This window comes from Homo sapiens, chromosome 6, assembly GCF_000001405.40.
Source record: "Homo sapiens chromosome 6, GRCh38.p14 Primary Assembly".
NCBI classification, from domain to species: domain Eukaryota; kingdom Metazoa; phylum Chordata; class Mammalia; order Primates; family Hominidae; genus Homo; species Homo sapiens.
Window position 1 is genome coordinate 123,273,906 of NC_000006.12, and position 27,074 is coordinate 123,300,979.

Here is a 27,074-nt window from a genome sequence, read left to right on the forward strand (position 1 = left end):
ATGTAGACTTGGAAAGGTCATACTTTTTTTTAGGTCAATGCTACCTTCTAATAAAATGATAGCATTTTAGGGACAATCTCTTAATGGGGGTACCCAGGGTTTGGTGCAAATCAGACACGGGGCAGACCCCTAGCTTCAACATTGATTAACTTGAAAATCCTGGAATAATAACTTATTTTCTGAACTTGATCTATTGAACTGCTTCTTCAGATATTAAGTATAGGTAATAATGGCCATGCTGTCTGTTTCTCATAATGATATGATGAAAGTAAAAATCCTATGCTAGTCCTTAGCTCACAATAGATGCTTAATAAATTCTTGCTCTCATTCCCTTCAAACCACAATAGTCTATAACTTTATGATTTTATAATTCTGGTATATTACTGGAAATACTTCAGAATTATAAAAACAAAGCCACCAGAATTATGAAAATAAAGCCATAAGTTAAGCATGATTATTATTAATTTCATAAAAACCTTAGAAATGTCTCCAGAAACCTAGAGTCTCTGTTGAGATTTATTTAAGGCCATTTTCTAGGTGTTTTAGTCTAGGGAATATTCCCATTCTCACCTAATCCAGTGCTATAAAATCATGTTGAGCAATGGAGTTGACAAAATAATGAGGAACTTGGAGACTATGTGCATGTCTCCCTAGTGAGATGTAAGCCTCTTTTAGTACTTAATAAAATAAAGATAATGTCAACTCTGAATCTATATAAAATAAAGCTCATGTTACCTGGTTTTGCTTCTTTTTTAATTTGGGGCTCTGAGGGAGAGAAAAGGCAGAAAATTTAAAACCTGAAAAAATAAACTAGAATGAAAATTAATTTTTAGAAATAATTTTATTTGGTTATCATAATTGGGAGGATGAGGCAGGAGAATTGCTTGAACCCAGGAGGCAGAGGTTTCAGTGAGCTGAGATCATGCCACTGCACTCCAGCTTAGGTGACAGAGCGAGACTCCGTTTCAAAAAAAAACCAGTTTTACACTGGTTTGCCAATGATGGACTATTAAACATGAAACAGAAACATGCTTTGCACTTGTCTGTGAAATTGTTGCTATAGCTCATTCTTTTAAATCTAAATTTTCTACTTTTTTCTAAGATGATTATTGCAGAAAATAGTTCCAAAGTCAACATAAGATAAATTATTTTAACAACAAGAGTTGGAAGAGACTCTTTGAAATAGATCTAATTGGGTACTTACGTGATTTAGGAATTGAGACAAATAATGTTATGGCTCAAATGTGTTCTCCCAAACAATCTGTTGAGTCCTAACCCCCAGTACCTAAGAATGTAACCTTATTTGGAAATAGGGTTGCTACTGATGTAATTAGTTAAGGTAAGATGAAGTCATGCTAGAGAAGGGTAGGTTTTTAATCCAATATGACTATTGTCCTTATAAGAAGAGGAAAAGAGACACAAATAGAGAAGATGACCACGCGATAATAGAGGCAGAGATTGAAGTCATATATCTTCACACCAAGAAACACCGAAGATTGCCAGAAAACACCAGAAGCTAGGAGAAGCAAACAAATATTCTCCTCTACGGTTTTAAAAAGAAGTGTTGCTTTGTCAACACCTTGATTTTGGACTTTTAACTTCCAAAATTGTGAGAGAGAAAAATTTCTCCAGTTTTAAGCAACACAATTTGTGATATTTTATTGTAGCCATCCAAGGAAACTAATCAATTTTGGTTTAGGAACATAGGTGCTGCTGAAACAAATACCTGTACATGTAAAAGTGGTTTTGAAATTGGGTAATGGGTAGAGTCTAGAATAATTTTGAGACACTTAATATAGAAAGCCTAGATTGCTTTGAAGAGATTATTGGCAGAAATATTGACATTAAAGGTTATTCTGATGAGGGCTCAGAAAGAACTCAAGAGAGCTATAGAGAAAGCTCTTGTCATTTTAAATGATACATTTGTGACTTAGTCCATTTTGTGCTGCTATAATAGAATATCACAGACTGGGTAATTTACATAGAACAGAAATGTATTTCTTATACTTCTAGAGACCGTGAAGTTTGGGATTAAGGTATTAGCAGGTTTGGTCTCTGGTTTGGAGATAATGCCTTGTTACTGTGTCCTTCAGAGAGAAGGAATGCTGTGTCCTTACAGGGCAAAGCCAAAAGGGGAAGACAGCAGGCTAGCTGAACACTGCACGGAGCCTCTTTTATAATGGCCTTGTTCCCATTCACAAAAGAGGAGCTCTTATGGCCTAATCACCTCTTCAAGGCTCCAGCTGTCAATACTATTTATTACACAGGTAACACATAAATTTTGAGAAAACACATTCAAATCATATAGATATATATTATTGTAAGTAGAAGTAGAATGTTGCTAGAAATATGAGTTTTAAAGATGAGGTCTCAAGAAAATGAGGAACATGTTATTGGCCACTAAAGGAAAGGTAATATTTTTTATAAAGTGGCAAAAAACTTAGCTTAATTGTGTTCTTCTGTTAGGTGGAAGATGGAAATAGTAAGTGAATACTTAAAAATTTAGCTAAGAACATTTTCAAGCAAAGTATGGAAGGTGCAAACTGATTTCTCCTTGTTGTTTATAATAAAATGTGAAAAGAAAGATACACATAAATTGAAGAAGATACCGTTAATCGAATAAGAACTGGCACTTACTGATTTGAAAATTCTCAGCCTATCTAGACAGTGTGCCATGGAGATAGAGCCAAGGTTGTGGTTGGACAAACTTTTGCTAAAGAGGTTAGATGTATGACTCATGGAGCCACTTCAGCAGAAGACAGAAATAGAGATGTGGTTATCCAGGAAACATCTGTGGAGGACCCTCTTATCTAATGGCTTAGACGCCCCATGAATTGAATGTGACACTAGTCAGGTTTTCGAGAATTTTAAAGAAGCAAAAACAATGCCAGCCTGGACAAAAAAGGGACAGAGACATGATAAAATGAAGGGATAATGACTCCAGAGAAAAGCCATGAATTCAAACGCCTGGGTTAATGGGACCTCCTGTGGTGGAGAAGGCAGGGCTGTCAGCACACTGAGCTAAGAGGACAGGGCCACTGTTCCACCAGTCCCAGAGTACAGAGCACTGAGCCAGAAAGAATATTCTCAGGCTTTGAAATATGCTAGGTTTTGGATTTGCTTAGGACTCAGGACCTCTTTTTATTTTATTGCAATTTCTTCCCTTTAAAAGGGGAATGTCCATCCTATACGTATCTCATCATTTTATTTTGGGAGTAAATAATTTGTTTCATGTTTTCACAGGTTCAAAAAGAGAAGAGGAATTTTGCTGAAGGAAGAATCATACTCCAAGTTTTATATGTAACTGATTTAGATGATTTAGATAATGAGATTTTGAACTATTGATTGATAGTTAGATGAAATTTTGGACTTAGAACCATGCTAGAATGGTTAGGACTTTTAGAAATGTTGGGATGGGGTGAACATATTTTGCACCTATGGAGGACATAAATTTTGGGCCAGCCAGAGAATGGACTGTTATGGATTTAATTGCATCTCTCCAAAAGGTATGCTTACATCCTAACCTCCAGTACCTTAAAATAGGAACTTGTTTGTAAATAGGGTTATTGCAGATGTAATTAGTTAAGATGTGGTCATGGGGCAGTAGGGTGGGTATTTAATCCAATATGACTGGTGTACTTATTAGAGGAGAAGGGTTTACAGAGCTAGAGACACAAAGGGAGAAGGTTTCCATGTGATGATGGAGGCAGAGTTTGAAAGTGATGCATCTACAAGCCAAGGAACACCAAGGATTGCTGGAAAACACCAGAAGATGCAAGGAAGGATTTCTCTCTACAGATTTCATGGAAAGCATGTCCCTTGTGACACCTTCATTTTGGACATCTACTCTCCAGAACTGTGAGACAATAAATTTCTGTTGTTTTAAGCCACCCAGTTTGTGGAATTTAAGCCACCCAGTTTGTGGAATTTTACTACAGTAGCCCTACAACAATAATACAATTATGAAACATTAAACAAAATTTTAACTGTGTTCAGAACCAGACAGTTGAGTGTTCTTTTGAAAAAGTTTCTACTGCCTACTGTAGCCTTCAGAAATGTTCATCTGACTCAGAAGCCTCAAAAGAGAGAAGGATGAGAGCAGATGTTTTGCTGATTGAATGTCTGTGTCCTACAATAATCAGAGAAAATCTTGGTTTTGTGGGAATCAATTCAATTACTTAGTTACTTCTTCTGAACCATGTAAATTTCTCAGATATTTCACCTATGCAAATAGAGGTTTTTCTAGAAATGGGTAGCATAGAGAAATATATATTTTGTTAGTTTTTTTTTAAGTTGGTCAAGGATAAAATTTGATAAAATATTTGTACTAGGACATGACATTTGCAAAGAGATATTGTGCTATTTATTCTAAACATGGAAATCATATATGTGTATAAATAAAATATACATACCTGGCTTCTCTTCCTTTTTTCCTTGTAGTTCTAAAAATATAGATGAACATTAGTAACAATGATTATAGAAAGATATTCATTTCCTATATACTTGTGCATATTTATTTTTATATAATTATTTTCTATGTTATTCATTGGTTTCAATCTCCTATTAACTTCGAAAAGTTCATGTCATATTAACCATATTCTTATGATTGTGGCAAACTAGTACGTAACAACAGATTCCTCACTATTATTCCAGTAAGAAATATTTTGAGAGCCAGGCATGGTGGCTCATGCCTGTAATCTTAGCACTTTGGAAGGCCAGCCAGGTGTGTTGGTGCGTGCCTGTAATCCCAGCTACTGGGGAGGCTGAGGCACAAGAATCACTTGAGGCTGGTAGGCAGAGGTTGCAGTGAGCAGAGATCACACCACTGCCCACTGCCTGGGCAACAGAGTGAGACTCTGTCTCAAAAAAATTTTTTTTGAGAAAATAATGGAAATCTGAGCTGAGATTTTTAATGACAAGGTAAGGAAAGATGCTTCCAGTGAATAAAAGATAAAGGAAAATTTTGGTATAGCATTTTCTCAGAAATACATGTAAGAAAATGAGTACATTGTCTACACAAAACAAGCCTTTGACTTTAAGCAAAATATTCAACATGAAATCAAGATAAATAACAGCATGCATTTAAGATTTGTTTTATGTATGTATGTACATATGTACGTGTTTGTTTATTGAGCATGCATATAACATACGTGGAGGTTTAGGCTTGACTTCTTTGCCTAGAAAAAAGTAAAAAAATTATTAAAGGCTGAGTCATACAATTCTTATTAAATTAACATTATTGAATATGATATAATATATTTGAAAATAAAAATGAAACAATGTAGACCCCACCTATCCTTTTTTGTTGAAATTCTATAGAATGTGTAACTTATGGCTAAGTTCTTTAGTGCAAGATTGGCAAACTTTTTCTGTAACTGTCAGATAGTGTATATTTTCAGGTTTTAGGCCATATAGTCTCTCACAATTCTTCATTTGTGTGAATATAGAAGTAGCCATAGATAATAATGTAAATAAATATGACTGACTGTGTTCCAATAAAACTTTATAAAAACTAGTGGCCAGTCTGTGGGCCATTTTGTCAGCCTCTGCTCTATTCATAGTCAGTTTTAATTTTCTCTCTTTTTTGCATCAACAAATATTTGAATAGTCAACACTTTTCTCTGATTCTGTTTTCTTACAAATGCCATCTAGTACCTGTCTGTCACTGTTCAACTCAACTTTTTAAGGAATATCATCTTTACTTGTTTTTTCTACTTCTCACTCCCACTTCATCATTAATTCACTGTAATCTAGTTTCTAGCTCCACCATTCTATGGATTAGTCTCTCTGGTCACCAATTTCCCATTACTTTCCAAGACTAATGAACATATTTGACCATATTGATCACTTTCCCTTTCTTTTTAAGTTCCTGTTCACTTGGCTTTTGGGAAAGGTAAACATAATATGTATGCTCTACTGTAATGAGATAAATATTAATACTGCCTTCTTTTAATTTCAAAACTATCCTAGTAACTTTTTCTTTTAGCAAAGATAACATAACAGGGGTCTAATTACTCCTCATACTGGAAATTAAGGAAAACAGACAAAATACATAAAACAATGGTTTTAAAGATATTGAACATCAGACAACAAAGAACAGTGATACTTTAGTGATGGGAAACAAATGAGATGTACCCTGTGATTGCTTCCGCTTAGTGCTTGGAGAAAGTTACAAGGCCTTAGTGCAGCAATGAGTTGCCTAGCAAATCACGGAGCTTATAAGATGGAGCTGGTAGTCTGGAAAGGCCAAGACAGTCAGTTATCACAGATCAGAGTAAGGTAGAGCAGAGAGCAGCAGAGAAGAGGAAGGGAGTTCTGGAGATGTGTGGAAGGTGACATTAAGTCATCAGAAGAGCACTGAACAGCATATACACACAAATAAACTACTTGAGGCCAAGGAAAGAAAAAATGGAAAGAATTTTAAAACTTTATAATAAGCTTTGAAGTTCAATAGCGTCAATCTTCCAACTTTGTTCTTTGTCTTCGGTACCGTGTTTGCTATTCTGGATCTTTTTCCATTCCACGTAAACTTTATATTCAGTTTGTCAACACACACAAAATAATTTTCTGGGAATTTTCCATAATTGCATTGACTCTATAGGTCAATTTGGAAAGAATTGACACCTTCATAATTTTGAATCTTCCTATCTACATATAGTATCTCTCTATCTAGATGTTCTTTGACTTTTTTCATCATCAGGGTTTAGTCCCCTCACTATTTTCTTTTTGTTCCTCTTCTTTTCTTTCTTTTTTTTTTTTTTTGGCTAACCTCTGCTTAAGGCCTAGTTTAGCTGTCTCTTTCTCAGAAGCCTTTTTCTGATGCAGCGGAATTGCTTACTCCTTTTATGTGCTAATACTACTTGGTAGATCTCTTTATCATTATGTTAGTCATAATCTATTGCAAGTATCAACTTAAGTGAATGCCTTCTTTTCTACATTGTGAGATATTTGGGGACAGTGGTCATGTGTATCTATCATTGAATGCAGGGAATTGGTGCGATTCCTAATACATGGTGATAAGATAGGCTCTCATTCTTTTTTTGCTCATTAGATAAATAAGTAAAACAAATAAGGTAAAAAATTGAGAAATTGAGCAAAAATGAATGTAGAAAAATATATAAATTTAGGAATTGTATTAAACACAAAATACATGTTACAGTTACTGCATAGTTTCTTTGACTTGGGTTGCAAATTTACCTCTCATCTTTCTGATATTCAGGCGGAAAAAAAAGCACAAATGTTAAACCATTTACAGTGTTCTTAAGATGTAAATACTTACTCTGTTTAAGAGAAGCAGAGTAATCACTGGCAATGATAACTGAGATAAATTTGTTTCCTGGGTTCTCAGAACAAAAGGCTGAGAACCTTTTGTTAATGTAAATAACCTTTTGTTAATGTAAATAACAGCCTCAGCAATATTTTTACCCTAAATGTGTGATGGCTTTTACAGAACCCCACCTACTGCTCTTAACATGCACCAGAGATACAATACAAAGCACAGTTCAATAAGAGGAAAGTCACTTTTGGCCCAATAAATGTGATTTAGGGACATAGCTATGTGCTCTGGCTAAATGTAAGGATAAAATCAAGGTTATGGAGATTCTCTCCAGTGGTAGGAAAGGATAATACATAGTCATATTTCTTTCTGAGAATCTAACACATGTATTGACACAATCCTCTAAGAAACATGAATGGAAACACCAAAAAACCCTAAAATACACATACAATTGTGTGAAAATATGTGTGTTCAGTTGTGCTCTTAAAGCCCAACTAGATTAAGAAAATGTTGACTTAATAGTTCTGCTATTTATAAAACCAAGTTGTGATAAACACAGGACACCTGCCTATTCCCACAAAGCTGTCCAATTATAAAATTTGGTTTCCGAGTTAGTTGTCTACATGCCATGTCCTATATCAACCTCATCAGCATTCACATAACATCTCTCTAGTTATTCAGCTTTCTCTTTATACTATCTATCCATTAGAAGCTGACTTCTGTCTCCCAAAATACATGTGGAAGTCCAGACGCCCAGTACCTTATGAATGTGCCTTGTGTGGAAATAGAGTTTTTGCAGTTATAATTAAGTTAAGATGAGATCATTATCCTGGGCCCTAATCCAATATGACTAGCGTTATGATCAAAAGAGGAAAAGAGATACAGAGATGGACAAACATAGAGGGAATGTAATATGAAGACACACAGAGAGAATACTGTGTGACAACAGAGGCAGAGACTGGAGGATGGGAGTGATGCATCTACAGGCTCAGCTTCAGAATTTATATATGTATCAATAGTCAGAGGTCTACAATGAACTATATATAGTTCTACATATATAAGTTCTATATATACATTCTATAAGTCTATATAGTTTAGCCTGTTAACAATTCTAGCTCCACAGTCATTATTGAATAATGTCAATAAAGGCTTGTACATAATCTGTTTTATACCAAATTTCTTCCTAAGATGATTAATCAACAGTGATCAACAGTGAAATAATATCATTTAATAATCTTTCTGATCCACATATCTGTAAATAGATTTAACATATTTTAACAGATATTTGTCAAATTACTATATTAATTCATTCATAAAGAAACTTTCTGTTATATTTATATTAAACTGTATAACTACATCTACAATGTGAGATAAACATATCAAAAACCAATCTAGAGTGCGCTAAAGCCTATATATTATGTGGTTTAGAATTTTCATTGTAAAAGTAGAAAAAAGTAAACTTTCCAAATACAAGTAACAAACTGAACTTTCATGAATTTATTCACAAAATTCATAATTTGCTTAATTATGTCACAGAAACTGCTCTATTAGATCAAATGAGGAAATTAGTCCTGTTCCTCAACAGAGATTTATTATATTTTAACTTTGTCAAGACAATATAAGTCATTATCATAAAATTTGACTTTTGTAAAATTTGTAAGTGTAATATTATTTGGGGCATATAACACATATAAAGATCTTCACTGGAAAAACTTTTATTTAGGTGATCTTATAAAGACTCATTAAGTAAGTCCATTAAAGTTTAATACAAGATAATAATTTGGTATAAGAGCAGTAGGACATTATAAATTTTATAATGCAAAAGGAAAGAATTTTAAAACTGAAAAGATCCTGGAAATCATCGGAATAGCTTTTTTAATGGGCCACAAAACAAGTCCTTAAAAATTTCAGAAAATTGAAATGATAACAAGTACTCTTTCAGACCACAGTGGAATAAAATTAGAATTCAATTCTAAAAGGAACCTTCAAAACTATAAAAATACATGGAAATTAAATAACATGCTTCTGAACGATCATTGGGTCAACAATGAAATCAAGATGGACATTTAAAAATTCTTTGAACTCAATGATAATAGTGAAACAAGCTATCAAAAAGTCTGTGACACAGCAAAGGTGGTGCTAAGAGGAAAATTCATAGCCTTAAATGCCTACATCAAAAAGTCTAAAAGAGCACAAATAGACAATCTAAGGTCACACCTCAAGGAACTAGACAAACAAGAACAAACCAAACCCAAACCCAGCAGAAGAAAAGAAATAACTAAGATCAGAACAGAAATAAATGAAATTGAAACAAACAAAAAATATATAAAAGATAAATGAAACAAAAAGATGGTTCTTTGAAAAGATAAATAAGATTAACCAAGGAAACAAGAGAGAAGATCCAAATAAGCTCAATTAGATACAAAAATGGGAGATATTACAACTGACACCACAAAAATATGGAAGATTATTCAAGGCTACTATGAACACCTTTACACACACAAGCTAGAAAACCTAGATGAGATGGATAAATTCCTGGAAATATGTAACCCTCCTAGCTTAAATCAGGAAGAATTAGAAACCCCCAACAGATCAATAACAAGCAGCGAGACTGAAATGATAATAAAAAATTACCAATGAAAAAAAATTCCAGGAATTGGGTGGATATACCCAATTCTTTAAATGTCTGATAGAATTCTGCTGTGAATATTTCTGGTCCTGGAATTTTTTTTCATTGGTAATTTTTTATTACCATTTCAGTCTCTAAATGATGAGTTAATAGGTGCAGCACACCAACATGGCACATATATATATATATATATGTAACAAACCTGCACATTGTGCACATGTACCCTAAAACTTAAAGTATAATAAAAAATAAATAAAATGCACTAACTCTTGCCCCCCCCCCAAAAATTGGTACCAATTCTGTTGACATTATTCGACAAGACAGAGAAAGAAGGAATCCACCCTAAATCATTGTATGAAGCCAGCATTACCCTAATACAAACAAGAAAGGGACATAACAAAAAAGAAAACTACAGATCAATATTCTTGATTAACATAGATGCAAAAACTCCTTACCAAAATACTAGCTAACCAAATCCAGCAGCATATCAAAAAGACAATCCATCATGATCACGTGTGTTTCATACTAGGGATGCAGGGATGGTTTAACATATACAAGTCAATAAATATGATATACCACATAAAGAGAATTAAAAACAAAAATCACATGATCATCTGAATAGACACAGAAAAAGCATTTGATAAAATCCAGCATCACTTTATGATTAAAACCCTCAGCAAAATTGGCATACAGGGGAAACCCCTAAATGTAATAAAAGCCATCTACCACAAACCCACAGCCAGCGTAACACTGAATGGGAAAAAGTTGAAAGCATTCCCTCTGAAAACTAGAACAGGACAAGGATGCCCACTCCCACCACTTCTGTTCAACATAGTACTGGAAATTCTAGCCAGATCAATCAAACAAGAGAGAGAAATAAAGGGCATTCAAATCAGTAAAGAGGAAGTCAAACTGTCGCTGTTTGCTGAGGATATAATTATACGCCCAGAAAACCCTAGACTTCTCCCAAAAGCCCCTAGAACTGATAAATGAATTCAGCAAAGTTTGAGGATACAAAATTAATGTACACACATCAGTAGCTCTGCTATATACCAGCAGTGACCAAGCTGAGACTCGAATCAAGAACTTGACCTCTTTTACAATAGCTGCAAAAAAATTAAAATACTTAGAAATATACCTAACCAAGGAAGTGAAACACCTCTACAAGGAAAACTACAAAACAGTGCTGAAAGCAATCACAGACAATACAAACAAATGGAAACATATCACATGCTCATGGATGGATAGAATCAGTATTGTGAAAATGACCAGGGTAGAATCAATATGTGAAAATGACCACATTGCCCAAAGCAATCTACAAATTCAGTTCAATTCCCATCAAAATACCATCATTATTCTTCACAGAACTAGAAAAAAAAATCCTAGAATTCATATGGAACCAGAAAAGAGCCACAGAGCCAAAGCAAGACTAAGCAAAAAGAACAAATCTGGAGGCATCACATTACATGATTTCAAACTATATTATAAGGCCACAGTCACCAAAACAGTGTGGTACTGGTATAAAAATAGGCACAAAGACCAATGGGAAAGAATAGAGAACCCCAAAATAAAGCCAAATACTTACAGATTGCTTTTGACAAAGCAAAGTAAAACGTAAAGTGGGGAAAGGACACCCTATTCAACAAATGGTGCTGGGACAATTGGCAAGCCACATGTAGGAGAATGAAACTGGATCCTCATTTCTTACCTTATACAGAAATCAACTCAAGATGCATCAAGGGCTTAAAACTAAGACCTGAAACTATAACAATTCTAGAAGATAAAATCAGAAAAACCCTTCTAGACATTGGCTTAGGAAAAGACTTCATGAACAAGAATCCAAAAGCAAATGGAACAAAAACTATGATAAATCGGTGGGACTTAATTAAACTAAAGAACTTCTGCACAGCAAAAGGAACAGTCAGCAGAGTAAACAGACAACCTACAGAGTGGGAGAAAATCTTCACAATCTATACATCTGACAAAGAAATAATATCCAGAATCTACAAGGAACTCAAACAAATTAAAAAATCCCATCAAAAAGTGGGCTAAGGACATGAACAAATAATTCTCAAAAGAAGATACATAAATGGCCAGCGAAAATGTGAAAAAATGTTCAACATCACTAATAATCAGGGAAACACAAATCAAAACCACAATATGATACCACCTTACTCCTGCAAGAATGGCCATAATCAAAAAATTAAAAAATAATAGATGTTGTCATGGATGCAGTGAAAAGAGAACACTTCTACACTGCTGGTGGGAATGTAAGCTTTATAACCACTTTGGAAAACAGTTTGGAGATTTCTTAAAGAACTAAAAGTAGAACTATCATTTGATCCTTCAATTCCACCACTGGGTATCTATCCAGAGGAAAAGAAATTATTATACTACAAGGATACTTGCACAGACATGGTTATAGCAGCAGAATTCACAATTGCAAAAACATGGAATCACCCCAAATGCTCATCAACCAATGAGTTGATGAAGAAATTGTAGTATAGGTCGGGCATGGTGGAATACTACTCAGACATAAAAAGGAACGAATTAATGACATTCACAGCAACCTGGATGGAACTGGAGACTATTATTCTAAATGAAGTAACTCTGGATTGGAAAGCCAAACATTGTATGTTCTCACTCATGAGTGAGAGATAAGCTATGAGGATGCAATGGCATAAGAATGAAACAATGCATTTTGGGGACCAGTTTGAAAGGGAGGGAGTGGGGTGAGGGATAAAAGACTACAAATTGGGTTCAGTGTATACTGCTCGGGTGATAAGTGCACCAAAATCTCACAAATCACAACTGAAGAACTTACTCATGTAACCAAATACCACCCGTTCCCCCAAAACCTATGAAAAAATAAAATAAAATACGAGGAATTAAAAAAACACACACACACATCAGGTTTCACAAACTCTTCAGCATGTGGGGGAGTGTTGTGTGTCTGTGTTTTCCCACTGAGAAGTCCTTGTCAGTCTAGGTTCTAGTGCAATGGTCCTCAAAGTGTACTTTCCAGAGCAGCAGCAGCAGCAGCAGCACCTGGGGAGTTGCTAGAAATGTAGCTACTTGGACTCCATTCCAGACCTATCAAATCAGAAACTCTGGAGGTGGGGCCCAGGAATTTGTCACTTAACATCCTTCTCAAATGATCCTGATGGCCACTTAGATGTACAAATTATTGCTCTGAAGGGATAAAATCATCATTCACCACATATAGTGCATAAAAGGATAATTTATTAGAATTTGTTAATCAACAGATAAGAAGCACAGAAAGAGTGCAAAGAGGTCTTAATGATGAAATCTCACCAATAAAATATAAACATCTTTTAATTCTTTTACATTTCCAGTTTCATGAATTCGTATATTCAGTTAAGATACTGGACCCATTTCAAATCTGAAGACATTTCACAGTTAAGCACATATCCAAATATATTAATGAATACAGTGTCTGTATATGTCTGTCTATCCATGGTCTAAGCCTACGTACTCCCTAAGGTCTATATTTAGGCAGCAATAGTAAGCCCAAGAGTAGATTACTGGGGGAGAATTCTGTAAGGCAGTGGTTCTCAAACAACAATATCACATAAGAACTTATTAGAAATGTAAATTTAATCTTCCAGGTGTACCTGATGCATGTTGAAATTTGAGAACCACTGTTTGATAACCGTAGTTGCTTTTTTTAAGAGCATTCATGTAACACAAAGGAATGGCTGTTTGTCACAATTCTGAGTCCCACGTAATTGTATATATTATGTTTCAGCAAATAAGGCTTAATTAGAGTCAGAGAGAAAGTTTTCAGTCTACTGAGACATCAATAGATAAAGCTAAAAACAGAGCATGCTTGTGTTGATCATGGTATGTCAACTTTTCAATCCCAATGACAGTAATATTCAAATTAGACATTTGTGATTGAGGTCTATAAAATATATGATATGAAATCAAATTTATATAAGAAAAAATATTTTAACAAACAAAATCAAATAATAGACTTGATGTTCTAATGGAGGTAATAATTGGCTGTGTATGATGGAATATGTTTCAAATAGTGAGTAGCAATATAAGAGTAGACACACACACCCATATATGTTTATTGTAATGATAGGGACTTTAGCCTTATTTTTTATTATAGTTATTATATTTTCTATATTTTCCAAATTTCTTTAATTGCATTAAAAGCAAACAAAATGTCAATGGCATGTTTCCATTTATACCCTATTATGCATAGATTAATTTTTAAAATAAAAATATAAAGGTCACATTCAATGAATTAGCAAAGGAATTAAAAAGGAAAAATCAAGTGTTCCAAAAACACACAATAGGAAAAGAACAATCTCTTTAATAAACAGTGCCAGGAAAACTGGATATTCACATGCAGAGAAAGAAATTGGGCTCTTATTTCACAGTGTATACATAAAATCAACTCAAAATTGATAGAAGACTTAATATAAGACCTGAAATTGTAAAGCTACTAAAAGAAAACACCGGAAGAACTCCACTGGTCAGAGTAGTTATTTCTCAGGTAGGACTCCAAAAGTACAGGCAACAAAATCAAAAATAAACTAATGGGATTGAGTGAAACTAAAAAGCCTCTGCACAGCAAACGGAACAATAAAAATGAAGAGACAACCTATGGAATGGGAGGTAATATTGGTAAATCATACTTCTGATAAAGGGCTAAAAGCAAAGAGATTTGAGGACTCAAACATTTCAATAACAGAAAACAAACACCTTATTTTAAAATGGGCAAAGCATGTGAACAGACACTTCTCAAAAGAAAATATATGAAAGGCCAACAGATATGTGAAAAGATGTTTGACATTTCTAATCATGTGGGAAATATAAATTAAACTACAATAAGATAACACCTCACACCTGTCTGAATGAGTATTATCAAAAAGATGAATGATAAGTGTTGATGAGAATGAGGAGAAAAGGAATCCCTTGTACACTGCTGGTGAAAACATAAATTAGTACAGGCACTTTGGAGAATAGCATGAAGGCTCCTCAAAAAAACTAGAATTACCATATTCAGCAATTTTCAGCTAGTTTACAGCAATTTCACGTCTGTTATATCCAAAGGAATTGAAATCAGGATGTCAGAGAGATATTTGAACTCCCATGTTCATTTCAGCATTATTCACAGTAGGCAAGATACTAAGTGTCCATCAACAAATATATGGATTTAAAAATGTGGGGGGTGTGTGTGTGTGTGTGTGTGTATATATATATACACTATATATATATAGTATGTATGTATAGTGTATATATATATACACTATATATAGTATGTATGTATAGTGTATATATATAAAATATGTTATATATATTATATATAATATATACACACACGTACACACACAAAATAGGATACTATACAGCCTTAAAAAAAAGAAGAAAATTCTGTCATTTGCAACATCAGTGGATACTGCATGATTATATGTGGAATCTAAATAAGTCAATCTCATAGAAACAGAGAATAGGAAGGTGGTTACCAGAGGGTAGAGAATAGAGGGAGAGATGGGAAAAGCGATGATGCTGATAAAAGGGTGCAAAGTTTCAGTTAAACTGGAGGAATAAGTTTTAGTAATCTATTGTTCTCATGGCGATCACAGTCAATAATAATGAGGTAGGGGGCAGAACTCAACTCTGGAGGTGGCACTCAGACACTGGACCAGATTGAGGCCTAGCTAAAACAGGGCCTCAGTGAAAGCAGCTTTCAATCAGACACTTCCACTAGCGTGCCATGTCAATTTACCATTGCCATGACAACACTCAGGAGTTACTGCCCCTTTCCATGGCAATGTCCTAGTGATTACAACCCCTTTCATAGAAATGTCTGCATAATCTTCACCTTAATCTTCATGCAATTGAAAGTGGGTATAAATATGACTGCAAAACTGCCCTGAGCTGCTACTCTCTGCCTATGGGGTAGTCTCTTTTCCCTCAGAGTTACCCATCTTGAGTCAATGTAGTGAAGCCAGTGTCTAGGATGCCCAGACAAGAGCTATCAACTTGGGGGCCCCAGAGCCAGAATCAGTGTGCCTGCTATGAGCAAGAGGGCCATTGACAATAAGAATGTTTTGACTATCCCTGGTGAGAGACAGAAAAAAAGTTCTCCACCAACTCCAGAGCTAACTCTTTCACTGTCCCCAGTAAGATGCAAGCTGTCTTGCTCAGGTAAGTTTACTGGGAGTCTTGGACCCAAGACCCAGTGGAAAGTTTCCCACAGTGGCAGATAAACAGCTGCCTGAACATTTTTCTTTAGTGTCTCCACTACTGGGTGAGCTCTCTGGTGCCTTAGGGACTCCGGGATAGTCCCTTGAGTAATGCAGTTCACTCCTTCCCTTCTTTATTTGATGCTATGGAATCCCCTTCCCTGTCTCTTTCTATTTTCCACACCTATTGAGGCAAACAAAATTTAGTCAGGCAGCTGGGTCCCAATTTTGTAAATAACTTGAATCCAGTTGTCTTGTATAGGTCATTTTATCTAGTGTGTTTCTTTAGCTCTATCTACAGGCATTGTGATATGTGTTGTGTCTAGCATGCTTTGAAATTGGCTTATAAATAAAAGAGCACTCATAAATTAAATAAGACTAGTCAAAGCTTACTAGTTTGAAGAGAATATTATGTCTTCTAAAATTTAACAGAATTTTTATCTAAGTAAATCACTGATGTTCATTGGCTTTAAAATGGTTAAAATGGCTTTAAATGGTGACATGTTTTGCATGGTATCTTGTTTCTTAGAAGTGGTCTAGATAAAACTGTTAAAAGTGAAAGAACGGAATCGATGCTTAAATAATGAACTTATTGTGTGGTTTAAAGTCTTAAAATGATAGAATAATCCTCACCTATAGAATGTCAATGTCTGCTGGGCAGTTCAGGATTTCTTCCTTTCTAGGTTTATATAAAATGTGCCAAAGAAATATATCCTTTATTTGGAAAAAATAATTTTTGTCTAATTTGGAAGTTATTAAAAGGGAGTTTCAAAATATGAGGGAACCAGTGAGTGAAAAAGAGAGATGTAAAGAATGTTATGGAAAGAAAAAGTACTTTCTGGCTGGGTGCAGTGGATCACAACTGTAATCTCAGCACTTTGGTAGGCTGAGGCAGGCAGATCACTTAAGGTCAGGAGTTGGAGACCAGCCTGGCCAACATGGTGAAACTCTGTTTCTATTAAAAATACAAAAATTAGCCAGACATGGTGGCACATATCTGTAATTCCAGCTACTTGGGGGACTGAGGCAGCATAATCATTTGAACCCAAGAGGCAGAGGTTTCAGTGAGCCGAGACTGCACAACTGCACTCTTGTCTGGGTGGTGGAGTGAGACTCTGTCAAAAAAAATGTATTTTCTTTTCCAAGAAAGCATATAATAAAAGAGTAATTTTATATGAAGAGGGATCTTGTATAGTCATATTTTGTCCTAGAGTAACATGACTGGTTATTTAAGAAAGAGGTAGTATAGGCTGGGTGCGGTGGATCACGCCTGTAAGCCCAGCACTTTGGAAGGCCGAGGCAGGTGGATCAGGAGGTCAGGTGATTGGGACCATCCTGGCTAACACGGTGAAACCCTGTCTCTACTAAAAAATACAAAAAATTAGCCTGGAGTGGTGGCGGGCACCTGTAGTCCCAGCTAATCAGGAGGCTGAGGCAGGAGAATGGCATGAACCCGGGAGGCAGAGCTTGCAGTGAGCCGAGATCACACCACTGCACTCCAACCTGGGCGACAGAGTGAGACTCCGTCACACAAAAAAGAAAGAGGTAGTATAGGACAAGTCAGAAATTTCAAGCAAGTTTTAGATAGTCTGTGTAATTTGTGATAAGATTCATAAATGGGGAATTTATAAAGGGAACTTTGTGTAAAATTAAAAACTTGCTATGATTAAAGAAAATTATTTGTAAAAAAACTTTTTACAAATGGCCTAAATATCAAAATCAAATTTTCTAAAGGTATTAATTTGCTAAATTACCAGAAAATTTTATTTTCAATTCTGCAATATATTTCTTTTGAAAGCTATGCAGATCCATGTAACTCTCTCCTTCAGCTTTTTTGTCAGCTCCTGTTAATTTTTCTCCTCTGTTTATGACTGCTGTTGTGGTCTGATGGTAAAGTGTTTTGTCCTAGAGATCTGTGGGAGCAGTGTTTCCTCCAAATACAGCTTAATTCTATGCTGTTGGTTTTCCTCAATGGGTAATCTCATTTTGGCTTTTGGTTTTTGATTCTTAAGTTGCTTAGAAGGAATTTTGGGGCTAGTGGGTACCTGCTCAACTCCATTCCCTTCGGCCCATGGATCTTGATTTTTGTTTTGTATTACCTCTTTTTGTCATGGTGTGCTAGAGGCAGCATCAATGGCCATGTTTTATTTTGTCCTATGCTGATGACAAGGTCATGTGCTGCCTGCCCTGGGTCCATAATGTCCCTCAGTGGGACCCCCATGGCTGGGGCATTTGGAGCCAGGGGACTTGTAGCCAGTTGGATGTTCTGGCCTGGATCAGAGCGGAAGTGGGTGGACACTTATTGGCCCTTGAACCCCTTTTTAGCAGTGTGGGAGCCAGAGACTAGGAGCCAGGAAATGTATTTATAAAAATTACTTGTCTGTGGACAAGTTTAGCTGCTGTGGTCTTAGCTTATAGTAATTAGCTATACAAACTTCCCTTTTCCCTTTTGGAATTTAGGTCAGGTTCAAAAGGCTTTCCACTATAAAAATAAAATATTACTCTTCTTCAGAGAGGAAAAATAGCTCCCCTGTTTAGCCAGGAGACTTACTTTTGCTAAAACTTGGAAAGAAGAATCCCCTGAAGATCAACTACAACCAAAATGGAAGGGCCCTTATCAGGTGTCATTGAGTACCCCCTCTGCTGTTAAACTTCAGGGAATACCTAGCTGAGTACATCTGTCCAGGGTTAACCTATGTCTTACGAGTCACAGCTACAAAAGGGGGACACCAACACCTACATCTGTGAACCTTTGGGGGACCTCTGCTATTTAAAGAATCAACATCTCAGCCAGAAGTAGTAACATGATGCTGTGGGTGGGAATGGGAGCTACAGTTTTTCTCTTCTTCCTGATTGTAATACTTCCTTTGTATCACTTTAGCCAATCCCTTGGGAAACATCTCTTTTGTCTTTGTTGGGCATAGAGACCACGTTAAGGCCCAGCTGAATCACGATGTCACTGTTCATCCTGTTTGCTCCCCTAGTTACTATGATCCAGTATGGGTGGGAACATAACTCTATAGTAAATATTTCAACAATTATTGCATCAGGAAATCATCTTCACAGTTGCTGGATTTTTCATCAACATTCCCAGGCTAGAGAGGTCTATCTTATGGCTTACTTGGAAAATCACTCACTACAAGTCTCACTTCCCACATCTTACCTGGTTTTTACCCCAGACCTAACTAACCATAGTGATGCTGAAATATTCAAACCCCTGCTTGGTAAATAGAACTCTCCCCACTTAACGGATTATACCTGAATCCTCCTGCCACTATTACTTGGACCTGAAAAATTGTGTATCTATATCTCCAGTGCACAAATGAGTTTATCATTTGCACCCACTGTTGTGTTAATGACACAACAGCAGAAGTTTCCCTGTGATTCTTTGATTCAACTACAGTTGGCAAGTTCCCAAGGCTGCAGTAAAGTAAATGGGATTCCACTTGTAAGTTAGGAGACCATATATGGTGCATTCTTCCAGATCACAACATACAAGGGAAAAATCACTGCCTAGTCTGGAAAGGTAGGAGTACCCCCCTTCTGAAAAATAAAGATTGTCCTGCCACCCCCATTGGAACAGGGAAAAAATATCTCTATAGACACAACTTGGAAGCAAAGGATAAACATCACACCCTGTAGGGCTTCTGTTTGTGCCCCCTCTGGGCTCATTTTTGTTTCTGGTCATGAATGGGAAGAAGTCAAACACTGTAACCTTTAGGAACTCCCTAGGGAGTCACCTGTTGTCTTAGGAGTAGCTTTCCCCTGTACATCAAAAACTTGGAACAGAGATGAATGTACATTGGCCAGCGTTGTCCCCCAGGGGTCACTGTCCATTATTTCATAAGACCCACGAATACCAGAAGTAAGCTAGCAATAGGGTTGATTCCGGCAGGAATCAAGGCAGTGATGGGACTAGCAGCACCTTGGGGAGGCTTTGTCTACCATAAGTCAATCCTAAGGAGCTTGACTCAAACCCTAGAAACCTTAGCTACCAACACAGGTCAGGCATTAAAGGGAATTCAAGTGTCCTTAGACCATTTGGCAAATGTAGTTTTTGATAATAGACTAGTGTTGGATTATTTACCGGCTGAACACAGTGGATTCTGTAAAGTTAATAATAAAACATGCTACACATATATTAACAACCGTGGACAAGTTGAGATTAACATTCAAAAGGTCTATGAGAAAGCTACCTGGTTACATAGATATAACCAGGGCACTGACCCCAGCTATATCTGGCCAACTATCAAAAGTGCCTTCCCAAGTCTTACCTGGTTTTTACCTCTCCTAGGAACTTGGTTGCTATCTTGTTACTAATATTGGCCCTTGCTTATTTAACCTCCTAGTAAAGTTTGTGTCTTCAACATTGGTGGTCCCCAACCTTTTTGACACCAGGGACTGGTTTCATGGAAGACAATTTTTCCACAGCCTGGGGTCGGGGGTGTGGATAGGGGTGATGGTTTCAGGATGAAACTGTTCCACCTCAGATCATCAGGCATTAGATTCTCATAATGAGCATGCAACGTAGATCCCTTGCACACGCAGTTAACAATAGGGTTTGCACTCATATGAGATTTAATGCTGCTGTTAATCTAACAGGAAGTGTAGATCAGACAATAATGCTCACTGGCTTGTCCATCGCTCACATCCTTCTGTGCAGGCCTAACAGGCCACAGACTAATAACAGTCAATGGCCTGGGGGTTGGGAATCCCTGTTTTGGGGACCCCTGTTTTAGATTACCACGATTTTACCAAGTAAAAACAGTGCTGGCACAAGGCTTCCAAGCAATTCCATCTACTGACCTGGAGAATGGAAGTGTCCTGCTTCTGGCCCCTTACAGCAGGTATCTAGAGATTTTTACTCCTCCAGTGCTAGGCAGGGCCTACTCCCATAAACTCAGCAAGAAGCAGTTACAGAAAATGAATCTTACCCTTCTGCAGTCCGTTAAGATTAAGGAGGAGTATCTAATCTTTGAGGGGGCAGGAAATGAGGAAGGAGGCAGGACTTGACTCCAGAGGCAGAGTTCAGACAGTGGACCAGATTGAGGACTAGCTAAAACAGGGCCAGGGCAAAAGCAGCTTTCAATCAGACATGCCCACCAGTGTGCCATGTCAATTAACCCTTGCCATGACAACACCCAGGAGTTACTGCCCCCTTCCATGTGACTCAGTGATGACTACTCCTCCCCTAGAAATGTCTGCATAGACTGCTCCTTAATATGCATGCAATTAAAAGTGGGTATAAATATGACTACAAAACTGTCCTGAGATGCTACTCTTTGCCTATGGACTAGCGCTGCTCTGCAGGAGCAGTCACAGAGCTTAACATCCCCAGAGCTGTAATGCTGCCTCTTCAATAAGGCTATTTTTATGTACCTTTGGCTTGCCCTTGAATTCTTTCCTAGGCAAAGCCAAGAACACTTGCAGGCTAAGCTTCACTTTGGGGCTCACCTGCCCTGCATCTATAATGTATTATATATTTTAAAATTGCCAAAAGAAAATATTTTTTATATTCTTATTACAAAACAATGAAAAATTGGTGAGGTGATAGGTATCTTAATTAAGTTGATTGACTCTTTCTACAATGCATCCATAAATCAGAACATCACATTGTACCTCATATATATACACAATTATTATTTATCAATTAACGTGGTAGCTCATGCCTGTAATCCCAGCACTTTGGAAGACCGAGGCAGGTGGATCACTCGAGACCAGGAGTTTGAGACCGACCTGGCCAACACAGCGAAACCCCATCTATACTAAAAATACAAAAAGTTAGCCAAGTGTAGTGGCATATGCCTATAATCCCAGCTACTCAGGAGACTGAAACACGAGAATCGCTTGAACCCAGGAGGTGGAGGTTACAGTGAAATGAGATGGCGCCACTGCATTCCAGCCTGGGTGATGGAGTAAGACTGTGTCTCAAACAGAAAAAAAAAAAAGATGAATGAATGGCAAATTAAAACTTTTAAAATTTTATTAATTTAAATCTCAAGAGTAAATTGCTTAATGGGGAAATGCAGTTCAGATAAAAATCAACCTGAAATGTTGCAGCATTATTTTCTCCTGGGTTTACTGCTCTTTAAGACATCTATTTACTCAACTCGTGATAGATTTTCTGCTTTAATCTATCAGAGCATGTTTAACTTTAAGGGCGTATTAACAAATCTTGTTTTTAAGACCAGTGATTCTGATGCAGATATATCTATGCCTACCACTACTTAGAACAGAGCAGAGGTTGACTTTGCTGTAGATATACATCTTAGCCAGAAAGAACCATCCGACAGGCATTTTACCATTTAAATTGACTTGAAGATTAATATCTAAACTTTCTACCACATATATTCAATAAGAAGACCATTAGGGGGATGCAAGAAAATATCATAAGGACTTTAATGGGATGCTTCAATCAGTTTAGAAATGTTACTACATTTTACTTGAAGCCATTATGATTCGGAGACATGTTTTCTGAGATTCATGAAACTTTTAATTATCAAGATTAAAATGGAAATATAAATGTTAAATATATAAAATATAATATAAGACTCTAAGAGAAAATGCCTTCTGAGCTGTGTATGAATTAGAGTTCACAAACGTTCTTTTTTCTTCCTTACTTATAGAGGTATTCTCATATAAGGCAGTCTCATTTATCAAATGTGCTGTAAAAAGTTACTTGAATAAAATAATATAGTTTTATGTATATAATTTTGGAAATATGTTCTTAGGGATTTCATAGATAATGATGTGTGTTAATATTATTTACACAATGCTGAACATCAGGGAAAGAAATGGTAAATGCTTTGAAAATTTCCCTTTAGTCTTTTAAAGGCCATTTGGTAAACAAGAATTGTCTCTGACAATTAGAACAAATTTCTGGAAAAAATTTTGCTTCATGTCAGGATAGATAGAAAAGTGACCTGATAGATAAGAAGTAGAAATATTATTTATGGTGTTTTTTATTTTTAAAAGCAGCAATAATGGGCAAGATAAGAGAGTGTTTGGAAAGTCCTTTAAACAAGATTATCTGTAACAGGGTCTGTGGTTGATATGCCTTTTTCATCCTAGTTGGTATGCATTGGCTATATATTATGCTAAGTTTTCGAGGCACCCATTATTTTTAAAGTTTTTTTTGAGGCTGCACTACAATAATTTCTATGAAATATTTTTAGTTGTTATTCAAGCATCTTACTGTTGACCATTCTGTTCTCACTTTTCATCTCAGACAGTTATCTGATATTTTGCCTCAAATGAGTAGTGAGAAACCCTTTGTGTTCTGCCTCTTGATGTTCAAAGGTGATTAAAGTGATGTTGAAGAGACTGTTTAGTAGCAAATTTTTGTTTGCACCATGATCGAGCATGAAAGATTAGAGGAAGTTAATAGAGAACCAATAGAGAAGTAGATATGATTAATCAGAAACACTACTTCGAAGTTTTTTTTTATGTGGATCTTTGTATAATACTGACATTATACAATGATTATTTAATTATCCAATCATTCATTCAGTAAACATTTAGTATGTGCTAAGCACTTCAGTCTCCCAAGAATTTTTGGCCAATCAGGCTTACCTATCAATTGAAACTGAATTCTTATGGATGAGTTTAATTCTGATCATAGCCACAGAAATAAGATTTGGTTGAAATGTAGTGCTAGGTATACTTCCTTCAAAGGCCATGCAAAGGGCGCATCCATTCCAGACATCACAAATTTCTCTTGAAAATATGGAGAAGAATAGAATATCAAGGGATAAATGGACCTTTTCCACTACTGAGTCACATATCTAACCTTCTGAAACAAAGTGGATATACCTCAGGAAATTCAAACTTAAATCCAAAATTGAATTCATGATATACTATTTCATCATCCACACATTTCCTATATTAGTAAATGATACCATACTTCACCTACTCTTCCAACCAGAAGGTTAGAAGTCTTCTAAGATTCCTCTCCATACTCACAAGTGTGAATAACTTCATCATAGGCTTGAAAAATATTTTTATACATAAACATTACATTAATCCATGAAATTAAAAAACAAAAAAACAAATTTGAGCTAAGAGCATTGTTTTAAAAACCAGATAATATATTGAGCATTACAAATAGTACATAAGCATGGTTAGTTAAAAGAAAGAAAAACCGGGGATTGGGACTAGGTTCTAATAATGAAACTAGCCATCTCTATTGTCCATAGAGTCCTGTTGATTCTATTTTGTAAAGATATCTCGAGTATGACCCCACTTGTTTATTTCTTCCTCCATTTCTGCCTTCATTGTAGCCTCAAATATATCATTTTTCCTTTTAGATGTCCTTTCTCTTTTTTGCTACATTTCAACATACCATGCCCATTTACTAAGACTCAGCTCACTCTTCATCTTTCTCTGGAAGCCTTTCCTGACCTCCTTCCACCAAGGGTTAGAGATAATTTGTACTCTCAACATCTTATGTAAGTCGCCATCCCTTTACATTCTAATTGCAATGATCTGTAATCATTTACTCATTTGTCTCCCCAGATAGAGTAAGAAATTCACTAGGCAAGGGACTGCAGCTATCATCTTTGTATTCTTAGCACTTGTGCATTGTCACACATGATAAACCATAATTGTCTTTAATAAACAAGTGACAACACCATATAAAATGGGGAATTTATTTATTGAGAAATTTACACTCCAAATACACTTCTGCTAACAATTCATCAAAATACTGCTAAAATATTGGGGAGGGAGTTGCAAAAAAGAGAATTACTCTGCAGCCCTTTACTGAAACATGCCATTAAAGGAAATACCACTTTTTCTCTCCACATAGGAGATTTTTCAAAATTATATCATGGTCATCTAGCTTTGGGATATGTGAAAACAAAACATGTATAAGTTTATATATGAGATTTATCATTAATGTTGGTTATAATTACTTCACCTAACAAACGGAGAAAATTATGCCATGTTTAGGTGTGACTATTGGATAGTTTTGGTCTGGAATAGAAAATGCATTGGAGATAATTTTCTATTGATTAGTACCCTCTGGCACAGCATGCTTTAATTGTTAAGATTTATTAAACTCTGTCATCCTAATCACCTCCCCATCATACCCTGATCCTTTAGGTGGGTCTTAGGGAAAAAAATGAGACAATAAGAAATGGGCCCCTACTATGATATAAGACCTGGGAGATCCTGTTCTTGTTTGGAATGTCAGGATATTGGTTAGGGCATGGGAAGGGGGTGAAGGGTTTGTGAGAAGGAGAGCACAGTAAAATGTCTGAATCTTGATGGACATGGCTAAAGTAGTCAAGCATGGCCCTTAAAGGAACCATTATTTGTCTCAGGTTTGCTATTTGTCACATCCATATCAGCACCTGGGCTTGAGAATATTTTGTTCTGAAACCAAGGAAATGAGAATAGAAGAGATGGGTAGTTATTATGTCTTTACTTGCCCACTACACTCAAATAAATAGTCCTGTTTTTCTTTCTTAAGATGTTTTGGGTTATTGAGTGTCAAATTTGAGCAGCAAGTAAAAGAAAAGGGAAGACGTCATACAGGTGCCCACAAGAGGCTTCTGAAACACCTTCCTCTGGAATATAATTTAATTATTAAGTATCAAGCCTCTTTTAAGTATCTCACCAATGTGAAGTACTTCATGATAGACTTGAGAAAATTATTCATACATAAATTCTATTATATTAATCCACTAAATGGGAAAGTAGAAAAAAAATGAGCTAAGAGCATTGTTTTAAAAACTAGTTAATACATTGAGCATTAAAAATAGTATATAAGCATAGTTGGATGAGAGAATGAAAAAAGGAGATTGAGAATAGGTTCAAATAATGAAAAACTAATATATTTTAGAATAGCAAAGAAGATATAAACTAAGCAATATGTTCACATGGAGAAAACTTGTTTCTTTTAAATTTCTGAACATTCTGTCAGAGTAACTTACAAATTAGCTTAGAAACAGAATCCTTTCTAATACAGTTGACTTCTTAACAGTCAAGTGTTTAAGAAGCTTCCAAGTTTTTCTTTTAATTTAGAAGAACCACAGCATCTGCTTCCTATGTGGTAAGTAATAAGGACTTATCTAGTGAATGGCTTGTACCACTCTGAAAGATGCAGTTTAAATTTCATTACTACCACCTTCCTGAGTTAAAGTTTAGTTTGGGTTGAAATTGGGAAGGAAGATTTTCAGTAATTTATTTTTTAAAAGGAAAGAAAAGAGCATTATTTTTAAATTCCCATAAAGTACATAAGCAAGAAAATCAGTCTGAAGAAAGCTCAAAAAGTTCAAATTATGGCTTTTGGAGGAGTCTCAAATACAGCCAATTGAAGATTAACAAGATTAACTATCTGAATAGTGGTCAACACTGTTTACAGTATATGCATAAGTAATCTTTAGTAATTTTAATGAAGTTATCATCATTCTGTCTTTTTTCTCTTGGAAGAAAGGATGTGTATATTTCCTGAGGATCCACAGAGAATGAATTTCTCTGAGATTTTAAATCAGCTGAGAAAAATTGTACCTGTCATAGACTGGTTCGGAAGCTATTAATGACACTATACTTGATTGACTAAATTGGCTAAGAAATAGTTCTTCTAAGCTCCTGAAGATAAATTCAATCAGAAGAAGATTCAAGACTATAGCACTCAAGTCACATGAAATAAAAATTAATTTTAGTTTTGTAAGCTAAATGGCCAATAATAGTGTTCTATTCAGATTTTGAAAGATGTAGCAACATTTAATTCTGGAAAGTTGCTGTCTCATGTACTTACTAGTATAATATATAACTAAAATATTAGATATTTAGTTTGTGTCCAGAACCATTCCAAGCATTTTAAAAGAAATATCTTACCATTATGTCCATGAAGTCAGTTTCCCCTTTTAACGAATTAAGAAACAGGCTTCCAGGTCCATTTTACTACATAACTTACATATCTTATTGCACTTGATCATTC

At 35.8% G+C, this 27,074-nt stretch overlaps 1 protein-coding gene across 1 annotated transcript in view, besides 1 other annotated feature; it reads right to left on the reverse strand.

The window, feature by feature from the left end:
- The window catches only part of TRDN (triadin), a 420,612-nt gene that overhangs the window by 57,567 nt on the left and 335,971 nt on the right, over window positions 1-27,074 (reverse strand). Inside the window, exons 25-27 of the mRNA NM_006073.4 lie at window positions 5,151-5,177; window positions 4,413-4,442; window positions 736-765 (exon numbers count right to left, since the gene is read on the reverse strand). Of these exons, the coding sequence (NP_006064.2) occupies window positions 736-765; window positions 4,413-4,442; window positions 5,151-5,177 (87 nt within the window). The remainder of the gene's footprint in view (window positions 1-735; window positions 766-4,412; window positions 4,443-5,150; window positions 5,178-27,074) is intronic.
- Window positions 2,724-3,259: an enhancer, noted in NCBI's record as "NANOG hESC enhancer chr6:123597774-123598309 (GRCh37/hg19 assembly coordinates)". NCBI's record gives its function as "activates a minimal SCP1, AML or CMV promoter by ChIP-STARR-seq in primed H9 embryonic stem cells {active_cell/tissue: H9 hESC(primed)}" and the evidence as "EXISTENCE:reporter gene assay evidence [ECO:0000049][PMID:30033119]".